Raw genomic sequence first — 13,555 nt, 5'->3', positions numbered from 1 at the left:
TACTATAAATTCATCAGTATCTTCCTTTAATATTGGTCTAGTCTCTTCCTTTGACACGTAAATATAAACCTAAGTCCACAAACAGCAGCTACTTTGTGTAGCAAGAATTTTATTCTTTTTGCAAAAAAATTTTATTTCCGCATTCACTGGCCTCCTTAACAAAATTATTAACGTGGAAGTGTACAGATATTTAACCAGAGCATCATTTTCTTTGCAAATTTCCCAAAGAGAAGAAATCTATCAAATATTGCTACTGGGAAACTTACATAATTGTATTTGTGTGTGTGTGTGTATGTGTGTGTACACTTTTTACAACCCTCAATTCCCTTTCCTAGAACATCGGCATTGTTCTAGGGAGGATACATTTCTGATTAAATGCTTACAAAAACCTGGAGGGATGATGGGAAGAATTTAGTCTGAGAGAATGGGAGAACATGGGAAAGAAAACATTTCATCTAAAGAGTGGAATTCTTGAGAGTAGAAGATGTTAATAAAGGCTGAGGAATAAGATAAAAGAACTTGACACAAGGTTTCTGAGAAAAAAGAGGGCAGTCAGGAAGATAATTTGGAGAATGTGATAAATAGCGGTCACTGGCCATTTGATGACACCCTGTAATCCTTACCTTTTAATAACTTTTACTAAAATCTATTTAAGAGTCACTGCTTTTAGAGTGGAATCTATTTGAGTTATTATTCTGGTTATACGGTGGAATGAGTTAAGATTAAGAGCAGCCATTAAGGCCTAGCTCTAAAGAACTGCTTTTGAAAATAAACATTTTGTATCACAGAATTAACTATTGCTTTAAGAAGCCAAGATCTATTCCTCCCTAATATAATCAGATAATCCTCAAAAACAGAAAGTGTGAGAGCTTAGTGACCATATTTCCCCACCTGTGATTTTGTAACGTCAAACAATTAATAGACAAGCTGGAGTAGTAGAGCAGAATGGTTAATAACACCGGTTCTGGGATTCAAACTCCAGTACCAACACTTAATAGCTTTGGCAAATTATCTAATCCTAATTAATTCCAGTTTTCTTATCTATTTTTTACCCAAATTCCTAGTGTTTTAAGGACCAAGTGAAGTACTAAGTTAATAAATAGGTTTTTAAATTCACTTAATTTCTTAATCAGACTTAAAGGGTTTTTTGCACTTTGGAAATTAATAGTTGGTCAAGTAGAAAGATGCCAGCTGGATAGAAGAGCTAATTTTGAGCTCGGTTTATAAAGTCTCAAGGGGCAGTACCACACAGAGAGGAAAACAGTTCTGAACCAGGTTGAATAGACTCTGAGAAACAGACATTTTGCTTAATACACCTGCCTATCGTGCGGTTGTGCATGCACTGGTTTTATTGACAAATACTGGGCTCAGATATTTTGTCAAGTGACTTGAGAGAGAACATTAATATCGAGTGTTGTATCCTGACTTTTCTTCTATAGTCTACAATTCAATTGTTTGTAAAAAGTTTGGTTTGATTTACTAATGTATCTCACTTTGCTTTGAAAACATAACCATGAAAATGAGGTAACACATGAGCAATACTTTATATACTTTATGTCAAAAAAAGGACAAGCAATGCCATTAAAAAATCATTCTCTGACACATTGATCAAGACATTATCATAGGTTATATGTAATTTTAATTCATCCATAGTTTGAATTTAGGCATTAATGAAATTCTATAATATAAATCCTAGATATTTCTTAACACAATTAAAATAGAAGCATATCTATTTGTAATAAAAAGATTAAAAAAATTCATTTTCCACATTTCATCTGAACATGAGAAAATATTTCGAAGAATTAATACAAATAAATGCTATTTTGGAGGCAGAAGACATTTTATTCTGTATATTTTATTCGCTTTATTTACCTTTTGCTTTTATTATTCTATATGTTACCTAATTCTATGTGTTTTATGATTCTATGTATGTGTTACCACATTTTAAAATGTGCCTATCATAATTCAGCAAGCCATATAAATTGACTTAGCATTCATTTAATTAACTGTACTCACTCATCTGTTTTTATTAATGCTTATCCATTAAAAATCTGAGAGGAAACACTGTGAATAAGTCTCTGGAATCTATTCACTTTCTTGGTCATCTATGAATGTTAAAAATACCAAAGTGTTATACAACAATAATGACTTTTATTGTTAATACTATTTAATTGCTAGACACAGTTTTCAGTGCTTTATTTGTTACTGTAATCCCTCCAATATTGCTTTTCTTAAATTATACTTTAAGTTCTAGGGTACATGTGCACAACCTACAGGTTACATAGGTATACATGTGCCATGTTGGTTTGCTGCACCCATCAACTCGTCATTTACATTAGGTATTTCTCCTAACGCTATCCCTCCCCCAGCCCCCCGCCCCGCAAAAGGCCCCGGTGTGTGATGTTCCCTGCCCTGTGTTCAAGTATTCTCATTGTTCAATTCCCACCTATGAGTGAGAACATGCAGTGTTTGGTTTTCTGTCCTTGTGATAGTTTGCTCAGAATCGTGGTTTCCAGCTTCATCCATGTCCCTGCAAAGGACATAAACTCATCCTTTTTATGGCTGCATAGTATTCCACGGTGTATATGTGCCACGTCAGGGTCTGGCTCTGCTGCCCAGGCTACCGTGCAGTGGAGCAATCTCGGCTCACTGCATCCTCCACCTCCCAGGCTCAAGCCATCCTCCCACCTCAGCCTCCTGAGCAGCTATGACTACAGGTGTGCAACACCACACTGACTAATTTTTTGTATTTTTTATAGAGACAGGCATTCACCACGTTGCTCAGATTGGTCTCAAAGTCCTGAACTCAAGTGATCTGGCTGCCCATCTCAGCCTCCCAAAGTGCTAGGATTACAGGCGTGAGCCACTGTGCCTAGCCTTAGTGCATATGGTTGTACACGAGGAAAAGAGAAGTTATGTAGTTAGTAGGTGACATTGCCTGGGACTCAAAATGACATATCTGTATCATAAAGTCTTGCAATTAATTAACTACAAAACTTTACCACAGGGGTGTCCAATATTTTGGGCCACTTTGGAAAAAGAGGAATTGTGTTGGGCCACACATAAAATAGACTAACACTAATGATAGCTGATAAACTAAAAAAAAAATCACAAAAGTCTCATAATGTTTTCAGAAAGTTTGTGAATTTGTGTTGGGCCGCATTCAAAGCTGTCCTGGTCCGCTTGCAGCTCGTGGGCTGCAGGTTGGATAAGCTTACTCTACCATCTCAGTATATATTTTAATATGTCAGATATATGATAGAATTTACTTTGAAGTAATTATGGGATACCATATTTAATAATGTCCATGATTTTTTTCCATCTGTTAAAAAAATTGCTAGGTTGTTTGGAACACTAAAATAAATAAAATTTTCTAAATACTTAAAAAAATTTGCTTAAATTGTGTTAAATATTTCTGCTCATTAGAAGAATAAAATAAACTTTTCGGTGACTCATCATCTCTGTTTCAGTTTCATTCTTGTCTAAAGAAAAAATAGAATGAACAAGAATAATTGTTTTGTACAATCGCTATAAATTCTAAATATGTTTGAAATGTCACTGCACACTGCTTACTAACATGGTGGTACTAAGTGAAGTCAGAAATATTAATGAGAGACCTTTGGCAACAAATGCTAGGGATAGTGAACAATACCTTTTCATAAGTACAACTCATGTAAGATGACAAATGTCTTACAATGCTGGGACAAACGGTGACAATAAGGAATATGGTGGTAAAGAACTCTGCTTCAGCACATTTGAAAGATAGAATTCTGGGAAAGGAAGAAAAAGATAAAAAATAGAGAAGACAGATTGAGGAGAGAAAACACGATTACAAAATTAAATGGTAAAGTAGGAAAAATACAAAAAAAATAGGATTAGTTCAAGGAAAACAACTTACAGGTTAAGAAACAACTAAAGAGGGCCAGACACGGTGGCTCATGCCTGTAATCCCAGCATTTTGGGAGGCCGAGGTGGGCAGATCACCTGAGGTCAGGAGTTCAAAACCACCCTGGCCAACATGGTGAAACCCCGTCTCTACTAAAAATACAAAAAAATTAGCTGGACGTGGTGGCAGGTGCCTGTAATCCCAGCTACTCAGGAGGCCAAGGGAGGAGAACCGCTTGAACCTAGGAGGCGGAGGTTGCAGTGAGCCGAGATCGTGCTACTGCACTCCAGCTTGGGTGACATTCCATCTCAAAAAAAAAAAAAAAATTCAATTATTCTCATAGCTTTCTACACCCTCTCTACCCCTGCATGTCCTTGTAACCCTCCACCCCAGCTTGAATTTGTTGACCATCATTAAACCATGCCGTGATACACACATGCAACTTCTTTACCACCCTCTCACTTTACATACTTGACAAAACATCAACCCTGGAAAAGTATAACTGTTATTATTTAGTTATTTTGAGATGGAGTCTCACTCATTCTGTCACCCAGGCTGGAGTGCAGTGGCACAATCTCGGCTTGCAACCTCCGCCTCCCAGGTTCAAGGGATTCTCCTGCTTCAGCCTCCTGAGTAGCTGGGCATAGGGCCACCATGCCCATCTAATTTTTTTTTTTTTTGTATTTTTAGTATAGATGGGGTTTTATCATTTTGGCCAGGTTGGTCTCGATCTCCTGACCTCAAATTATCCACCCGCCTCAGCATCTCAGAGTGCTGGGATTATAGGTGTGAGCCACCGTGCCTGGCCTGTACTGTTTCCTGCACACATTTGCATTCATGCAGTTGACTATGGCTAGAGAAATATCTAGAAACATGCTGATTATTCTCATCTAAAATTACTATCCACTAACTTTAAATGAATCTAAATACTTCTAGCATCATACAATTTCCAGCTTATTTATTATCCCAATGTCTTATTAAACATTTCCCTTTCTTAAATTTATGCCTATTCTTAGTCAATGACTGTACTTCCCAATTCACTTAGAAAATTGAAAGTTGCAAGAAAAATACTACAAACTTTCTTCATAAATCCTCCATCTGCATCTGTTTGCATGTGTCCTCTCTCTCTGTTGTTCCCAGGGATGAACTCACCATGCCTGTATCTAAGGCCCACCTGTTTACTGATATAATAGATTCATCTTTTCTTGCCTACTCAAAAACATCACTCTCTGTCCTCTATCACCAAATTTCCCTTTTCTACTCTATCAGTCTCATCACAGTGCTGTTCCCCAAAATTGTATGCTTCTATTTTTAAAAAAATTATTCATCTCTACTACCCTCCAGGTATCACACCATTTTTTTGCTCATCCTTGTAGCAAAATTCCTCAAAACAGTTGTTTACGCTTTCTGCCTCCAATTCTTTTCCCCATTCTCTCAGCAACCTTCGCCTCTCTACTAAAACTACTTCTGGCATGGTTACCAATGACATCACAATGCTAAATCTAATGGTCAAGTTTTGATTCTCATGACTTGATTTATCATTCACATAGGACATAGCTGAAGATTCCTTTCTCCTTAAATTGCTTTCTTCACTTGACTTTTTGACACCACATTTCTTCTGATTTTCTTTTTTCTTTGTCATCTTCACTATATTAATCTTTTTAATGGTTTTATCCTCATCTTCTTGATCTCTTAATGTTGGACTTTGTCAGTTGCTTTGACCTTTTTTCTATCTATGCTGTCTTGGGATTCTTATTTGGCTTTGTGCTTTAAATACCATCTGATGACTGACAGCATTTTCTTTCTAGTGTGGACCTCACCCCTGGATTATAGACAACTTTACTGTGATACCTGAAAAATGTCTAAACTTAACAGGTGCAAGCTAGAGCTCTTGATTTTCTTCTGTCACACAGATCAGGTCCTGGTACAATTGTTCCCACCTCAGTTAGTGGTAATTTCACTTTTAATTGCTCAGGACAAAATATCCCGCATTCCCCCAAGGGTTTTGTTAGTTTTTGTATATTGTCTCTGTTTCTTGTTTCAAAACTTACAACAGAAAATTCTGTTGTCCCTATCATTAAAATATATCTGAATTTTCCCATTTTTCAGTACCTTTTCTATAATCGTCCTGGTTCTATCTGCAAACACCCTGCTGTAGATTTTTACAATAGTTTCCTGACTGATCTTTCTGTTTTCATCTTATCCCTCTGAAGTCTGTTCTCAGCAAAGCATTCTGAGTAGATCTGCCAAAGCATGCATCAGCAGAAGTCATTTCTCTGCTTAAAAACTCTCCAGTGAATTCAGATTTTACTTGGAATAAAAGCCAATGTCTTTAAAATGGCCTAAAAACCCTACATGATTTGTCTTCCCACCTTTTATTATATTTCTCACTTCCTCTCCTACTACTTCCTATCCTTCCCACTTTTCATCAGCCATACAGATCTTCACAAATGTTAGGTAGACTCCCACCTCTGCAATCTCGCATTTGTTTATACCCTCCTTCCTATGATGCTATACCCCAATCTATCTACAGAGTGAATTTCCTCACCTCCTTCAAGTCTTTGCTTAACTGCCATCTTCTTGAGAGTTCTTCTCTGAGCCCTCTATTTAACTTATATCCCAATCCCCAACTAGGCCTCCTGGTTCTCCTCTGCAGCTTTATTTCCTCAGTAACACCTTGAATCTTACTCTATAGATTTATCAACTTTTACATGGTCTTTCCCACAGAAACTTCATGAAGGCAGAGATTTTTGACTATTTTATTTACTGATATAACCTCTATACCTATAAAAGTGCCTGGTATGTAATGAGTATTTAAGATATATTTTTGGTTGTCGAGTAAATGAGTGAGTAAATGAATAAATACTATTAACTGCAAGTTGCCTTAAATAAGAATATATGCTATACTGATCCTTTTTTTTTCTAAATTCAACTGTGCTTTTATATTTAAAAATTCTTTAAAATACATTTATTTACATTTTTTTTTTAACTTTTATTTCAGGTTCGGGGGTACATGTGCAGGTTTGTTATGTAGGTAAATTGCGTGTCACAGGGTTTGGTGTACAGATTATTTCATCATCACCCAGGTAATAAGCATGGTACCTGATAGGTAGTTTTTCTATCCTCACCCTCTTCTCACGCTCCACCCACATGTAGGCCCCAGTGTAACTGTTGTTCCCTTCTTTGAGTCCATCTGTAGTCAATGTTTAGTTTCCACTTAGGTATGAAAACATATGGCATTTGGTTTTTGTTCTTGCATTAGTTTGCTTAGGATAATGGCTCCACCTCCATCCATGTTGCTGCAAAGGACATAATCTCATTCTTTTTTACGGCTGTGTGATATTTTATGATATTCTTTTTTATGGCTGTGTGATATTTTATGGTGTATTTATATCGCATTTTCTTTATCCAGACTGGATAAAGTCTATCCAGTCTTTATCCAGCCTATCCATGTTATTGTTGATGTGCATGTTAGGTTGATTCTATGTCTTTGCTATTGTGAATAGGATTGTGATAAACATATGCATGCTTGTGTCTTTATGGTAGAATGATGTGTATTCCTAATTCCTTTGAGTATACACCCAATAATGGGATTGCTGGGTCAAAGGGTAATTCTGTTTTAAGTTCCTTTAGAAATTGCCAAACTGCTTTCCACAATGGCAGAACTAATTATACATTCCCACCAGCAGTGTATAAGCATTCCCTTTGCTCTGCAACCCACCAACATATGTTATTTTTTGACTTTATAATAATAAGCATTCTGACAGGTTGTGAGATGGCAAATCAATGTGGTTTTGATTTGCACTTCCCTAATGATCAGTGATTTTAAGCTTTCTTTCATATTATCATTGGCCACATGTATGTCTTCTTTTGAGAGGTGCCTGTTCATGTCTTTTGCCCATGTTTTAATGGGGCTGTTTGTTTTTTTCCTGTAAATTTGGTTAATTCCTTATAGATGCCAGATAGTAGACCTCTGTCGAATGAATAGTTTGCAAAAATTTTCTCCCATTCTGGAGGTTGTCTGTTTACTCTGTTGATAGCTTCTTTTGTTGTTGTTGTGCAGAAGCTTTTTAATTCGATCCCATTTGTCAATTTTGGCCTTTGTTGCAATTGCTTTTGGCATTTTCGTCATTAACTCTTTGTTTGTGCTTATGTCATGAATGGTATTTCCTAAGTTGTCTTCCAGAGTTTTTAGAGTTTTGGGTTTTACGTTTAAGTCTTTAATCCATCTTGAGTTGATTTTTGTGTATGGTATAAGGAAGGGGTCCAGTGTCAATCTTCTGCATAGTGCTAGCCAGTTATCCCAGAACCATTTACTAAATAGGGAGTCCTTTCCCCATTGCTTGTTTTTGTCAGCTTTGTCAAAGATCAGATGGTTGTAGTTGTGCAGCATTATTTCTGGGTTCTCTATCCCATTTCCTTGGTCTATGTGTCTGTTTTTGTACCAGTACTATGCTGTTTCGGTTACTATAGCCCTGTTGTATAGTTTGAATTTGGGTAGCATGATGCCTCCAGCTTTGTTCTTTGGGCTTAGGATTGTCTTGGCTATTTGAGCTCTTTTTTTGGTTTAACATGAATTCTAAAGTAGATTTTTTACAATTCTGTGAAAAATGTCAATGGTATATTCATAGGTATAGCATTGAATTTGTAAATTGCTTTGGGCAATATGGCTACTTTAACAATATTGATTCTTCCCATCCATGGGCATGGCATGTTTTCCATTGTTTGTGTCATGTCATCTCTGACTTTTTTGAGCAGTGTTTTGTAATTCTCACTGTGGAGATTTTTCATCTCTGTGGTTAGCTGCATTACTAGTTTTTTTTTTTTTGGTGTGGCAATTGTAAATGGGATTGCATTCTTGATTTGGCTCTCACCTTGGATATTGTTTGTGTACTTATTTTTGTACATTGATTTTGTATCCTGAAACATGACTAAAACTGTTTATCACATCAGGGAGCTTTTGAGTCGAGACTATGGGATTTCCTAGACATAGAATCATATCATCTATAAACAGTGATAGTTTGACTTCCTCTCTTTCTATTTGGATGCCTTTTATTTCTTTCTCTTGCCTTAATGCTCTGGTTATGACTATGTTGAATAGGAGTGGTGAGAGAGGGCATGCTTGTCTTGTGCTGGTTTTTAAGGGGCATTCTGCCAGCTTTTTCCTATTCAGTGATGTTAGTTGTGGGTTTGTCATAGATGGCTCTTATTATTTTAAAGTATGTTTCTTCAATGCCTAGTTTGTTGAGAGTTTTTAGCATGAAGGGACGTTGAATTTTATCAAAGCCTTTTCTGTATCTTGAAATGATCATGTGGTTTTTGTTTTTAGTTCTGGTTATGTGATTTGAGTCTGTTGAATTGAACTTGCATCCCAGGGATAAAAGCCTACTTGATTGTGATGGATTCGTTTTTGATATGCTGCTGAATTGGATTTGCTAGTATTTTGTTGAGGATTTTTGCATCTATGTTCATCAAGAGTATTAGTCTGAAGTTTTTTGTTGTGTCTCTGCCATGTTTTGGTATCAGGATGATGGTGGCCTCATAGAATGAGTTATGGAGGAGCCCCTCCTCCTCAGTTTATTGGACTAGTTATAGTGGCAATGGTACCAGCTCTTCATTATACATTTGGTAGGATTTGGCTATGGTCCTTGCCATTTTTTTCTTTCTTTTTTTTTTTTTTTTGTTGGTTGGTAGGCTTTTTATTACTGATTCAATTTTGGAGCTCATTATTGGGCTCTTCAGGGATACAATATTTTGAGGAGTTCAATCTTGGGAGGTTGTGTTTCCAGGAATTTATCCATTTCTTCTAAGTTTTTTAGCTGTGTGCATAGTGGTGTCCCTAGTAGTCTCTGAGGGACTTTTTTTTTTTTTTTTACTTCTTTGGGGTCAGTGGTAACATTCCCTTTGTTATATCTGATTGTTTTTATTTGGATCTTCTTTTTTCTTTATTAGTCCACTTAGGGGTCTATCTATCTATGTTATTCTTTCAAAAAAAAAACCTCCTGGATTCATTGATTTTTTTTTGTATGGTTTTTCACATATCAGTTTTTTCAGTTCAGCTCTGATTTCATCTTTTCCTTGTCTTCTGCTAGTTTTAGAGCTGATTTGCCCTTGTTTCTTTCATTCTTTTAGGTATGTTAAGTTGTTAATTTGAGATCTTTCTAACTTGTTGATTAAGCATTTAGCTTCGTAAACTTCCCTCTTAACACTGCTTTAGCTATTTTTCAGACTCTGGGATGTTGATCCTTCATTTTGAATGTATGTCTCCTGGCATTCTACATGAAACATTATAGACCATTGCTTTTACCTAGTTGCCTAACTACTTGTGCTCTCTGAGGCTTTGGATAATGTATGTTTTCAGAAACTAAAACTTTAGATTAAGAATCACTCTGTACATTATAAATACCGATTTAGGAGAGGTTTCCCAGTCTACTCACATCATAACATTATTTGAAATGGAGTTTGAACTCAATGACAAAACATAATGGTGCTATTCATAGACACACACACACACTCATACACACACAGTGGAATTCTTCTTTTAACTCATTTTTATCTATGTTTTGGAGGTTCATAGCATTATTTACTATTACTCTTTTTTACTTGTTAGTGCACTTGAATACAGGTTATTATGATACCTAATGGTAGCAATTTATTTTATTTCTTTGTATTTCTCTTCTTCCTGTACTTCAGATTTCTCAAATTCACTTAAAGCATGGCTTTTTAATATAGACATTTTTCAGTGTTACATAAGGTCTTGAGGTTAGGCCATCTTTTTAATTTTTTTGTAAAACAGGATTTTTGAGAATTTCAAATTTTTTCCTCACATTAGAAAATGTAGGAACCAAAAATGACAAATAGCATGGAAGAGAGCTAGGAGGAAAATTAAAATATGTCTGGACAGACTGAACACAGGCTCTCAAGTCAGAAAATCTGTGATACATACATGAGAGGTTCAGTCCACATCTAATCAATCACTGTTGCTGAGAGGGAAATAACTTTTTGAAGAGTTTCATGCTGAAGGAGGAAAGCTGGTTACTTCTGGTGCCATTAAAAGTTCAATGGTAGAGACAAATCACTGTTTGAGGACTATTTACTGGACTTGTTAATCTGTCCAGGATTCTGATTGTCAGAAGCCTAATTATTTCTTGAGTCCTTGATCATGATGTTAATGATCCTGATATATTTCCTGAATATTTAACCATTTTCCCCTCATCAGTTATTCTGAGAAGAGTCCTAAGCCCTTTCCACTGTTTTATATACTCAGTTTCATCTAGTTTGCAGTATTTTTGACTATTATAACATATGCCTATAAACACATTTAATTTTTAAATGACTTTACAGCACTTGACCATTATTTGAAAGCCCATTGCTTATACAAAGTGGCTCCTATGCTTGGCTTATAATTTAATGATTGAGTAAGCATCTTTTTTGGGTTCAAAATCTGGTCTTAAATGACATTAAAAATTTAATATAATTAACTGTTCACAGAGATTTGCATTTCTTCAAGCAAAAAGAGTGTTGCAAGAGAGACTTGGTGGCTTGGTAGGAAAAGCTGCATGTAAGCTAATGGCTCAAATGCAGGTAGGGGGAGTATTTTTAAACTTCTATTGTGATATTTTTTGCCAAAGTATTTGCCAAATCCCTGTCCTTGATGGAAGTATAATGGTGAATAGGGAAGCAGTTTTCAGTTATTATGTAATGTTCTCTGCAAAACTTTGCCAATTGGATTTTAATTTATTCTATATCTAAAACAAAAAAACAAAAAGGTAAAATGAAATATAACCCTTTATTTACATAAAAATGCACTGTAAGAATAAATTAAACTATTTCTATCCATAATATTACTGAGTTTTTGGACAAATGGTGCTGTATAAATGCAAAGTGCTATTGCTGTTACTTTTACCAGGACTGAAAATAGTGTGCAGAATAATGAGAACTGGAGGCAAATAAAATGTTTATGTAGTTTTATTCCTGAAGAAACACGCATTGGAAATATGTAAGCTTAATCACACCTAGTTTTTCCTCCTCATAATTCAGAACACATTTATCTTTGTTCCCCCACAAAACAAAATAGTTATTTCTAGCATTTGCTCAAGATCTTGATCTGAAGCTCATGAAAATGCTTCAGCTCTCTGCACCAACAGAAGGAGCCATTTGACAAATTGAGCATTTGAGTTATCACAATCTTATGTGATCTCCCCACAATGCTGTACACCTCTTATCTGATTCCAATAGTTCAGGGACAACTTAACACATTGCATTTATCTTTATTGTGATTTAATTTTGAGCAGTCAGGATCCTGAGTGGAAGGAGAAACTGCTAGAATTTAGAAATCAGGTTGTCCAGCCTGCAAATTGCTTCCTCTGTTAAATACTTGGAAAGACATCCATCACGACATTTTGACGCTCAATCCATTAATATCCCTTTTCAGTATTCCTGACCTCAACTGAGGATGCTGCATTCTTTGCCCTGTTTCTTCTCTCAAGTGATGCCAGCCCTTAGAAGAAAGAACCCAACATGACATAAGAGTCTTCTAAGCTGAGAGTAGCAAATGGCTGTGGAAATAACCCCACTTGATTCCTCATGATCCTTTGTGCTGTCTACTGCAGGCTGTCACCTCAATTTCTATTTCTTCCATAACTGAGGTAAAGAAGAGTTAAGAATTTTTGTGTGTAGCTATTGACAGTCACTTCACAGATTAAAGGATGTCCTTAATATAAAGTAAAGCTAAATATCAGAGACGACAAAAGGTCCATTTATTGAAGTTGAAGGTATGCTCTAGTAACAAGTGGTAGAAAGTACAGCAAGCTGAAACTCAATAGATGACTTCTGATAGTGATACCACCATTGGAGTTGGGTAATCTTCAATAAACTGGAGTGCTTTTTTTGTCCTCCAGAATCCTTGCCGTATATGGAGATGGACAAGAGATAATTTCTGAGGTAGTTGTATTTTATGCCTTTTAGACAATAAAAAATACGCGTTTGTTGCCAAGAAGTTGTAAATCATATGAAAGTTTAATGATCAAAATAAACCATTTTACTTTAATTCACTCAAAGACAAATGAATTTATATCTTATTCAGGCTTACAGTTGGAAGTTATAAATTTAAAGGTGATAAATGCACATACCCTAAACTTAAAATCTTTCAGCTTTTATAATATTTAATGCATGCTCTTATTATAAAATTATTACATACTAGATCATAACTTTTTAAAGTTATTTTCCCATTAAGAGCATCTTTACAATACTTACACAAGATATTTAACTTTTCAAAAGGTAAACACATATTTTGAAAGTTCTGTTTTGATTATTGTATTAATTAGGGAATTTAGTTGAGAAAATGACAGCTGATTATTTACATGGTGTGCAGTGATTACGTGGGATTAATTGTCCTTGTGTGCCCCATTGCTAGCCTGAAGATTCTGATTTTAGCAGAGAAGATGAAGATGGAAGGGTAGGATTTTTGAGGGCTTTAAAGTAATTGAGAGATATGCAAGTTCACGATTTTATAGAAAAAGGCTACAAACTAAATTTCATGTATAGATTTATTAGTATCTCCTTGTATGACATTGAGCAAATCACTTCAACTTTTTGAGTTTCGTTTTCCCATTTGTAAACTAAAGGAGTAGGATTTGCTGATTACATATTTTCTTTAGCTCTAAAGTC

General features: G+C 35.6%; 1 long non-coding RNA gene across 1 annotated transcript; it reads left to right on the top strand.

The window, feature by feature from the left end:
* Nucleotides 1–6,612: 6,612 nt before the first annotated feature.
* Nucleotides 6,613–12,823, top strand: LOC105375997 (uncharacterized). Its single transcript, XR_929526.4, has 3 exons — nucleotides 6,613–6,685; nucleotides 11,378–11,470; nucleotides 12,321–12,823. It is a non-coding gene; the product is annotated as an uncharacterized LOC105375997 (long non-coding RNA).
* Nucleotides 12,824–13,555: the final 732 nt, after the last annotated feature.

This window comes from Homo sapiens, chromosome 9, assembly GCF_000001405.40.
Source record: "Homo sapiens chromosome 9, GRCh38.p14 Primary Assembly".
In the NCBI taxonomy this organism is placed as follows: domain Eukaryota; kingdom Metazoa; phylum Chordata; class Mammalia; order Primates; family Hominidae; genus Homo; species Homo sapiens.
Note: the sequence above shows the minus strand (reverse complement) of the source record. Positions and strands in the feature narration are given on the sequence as shown.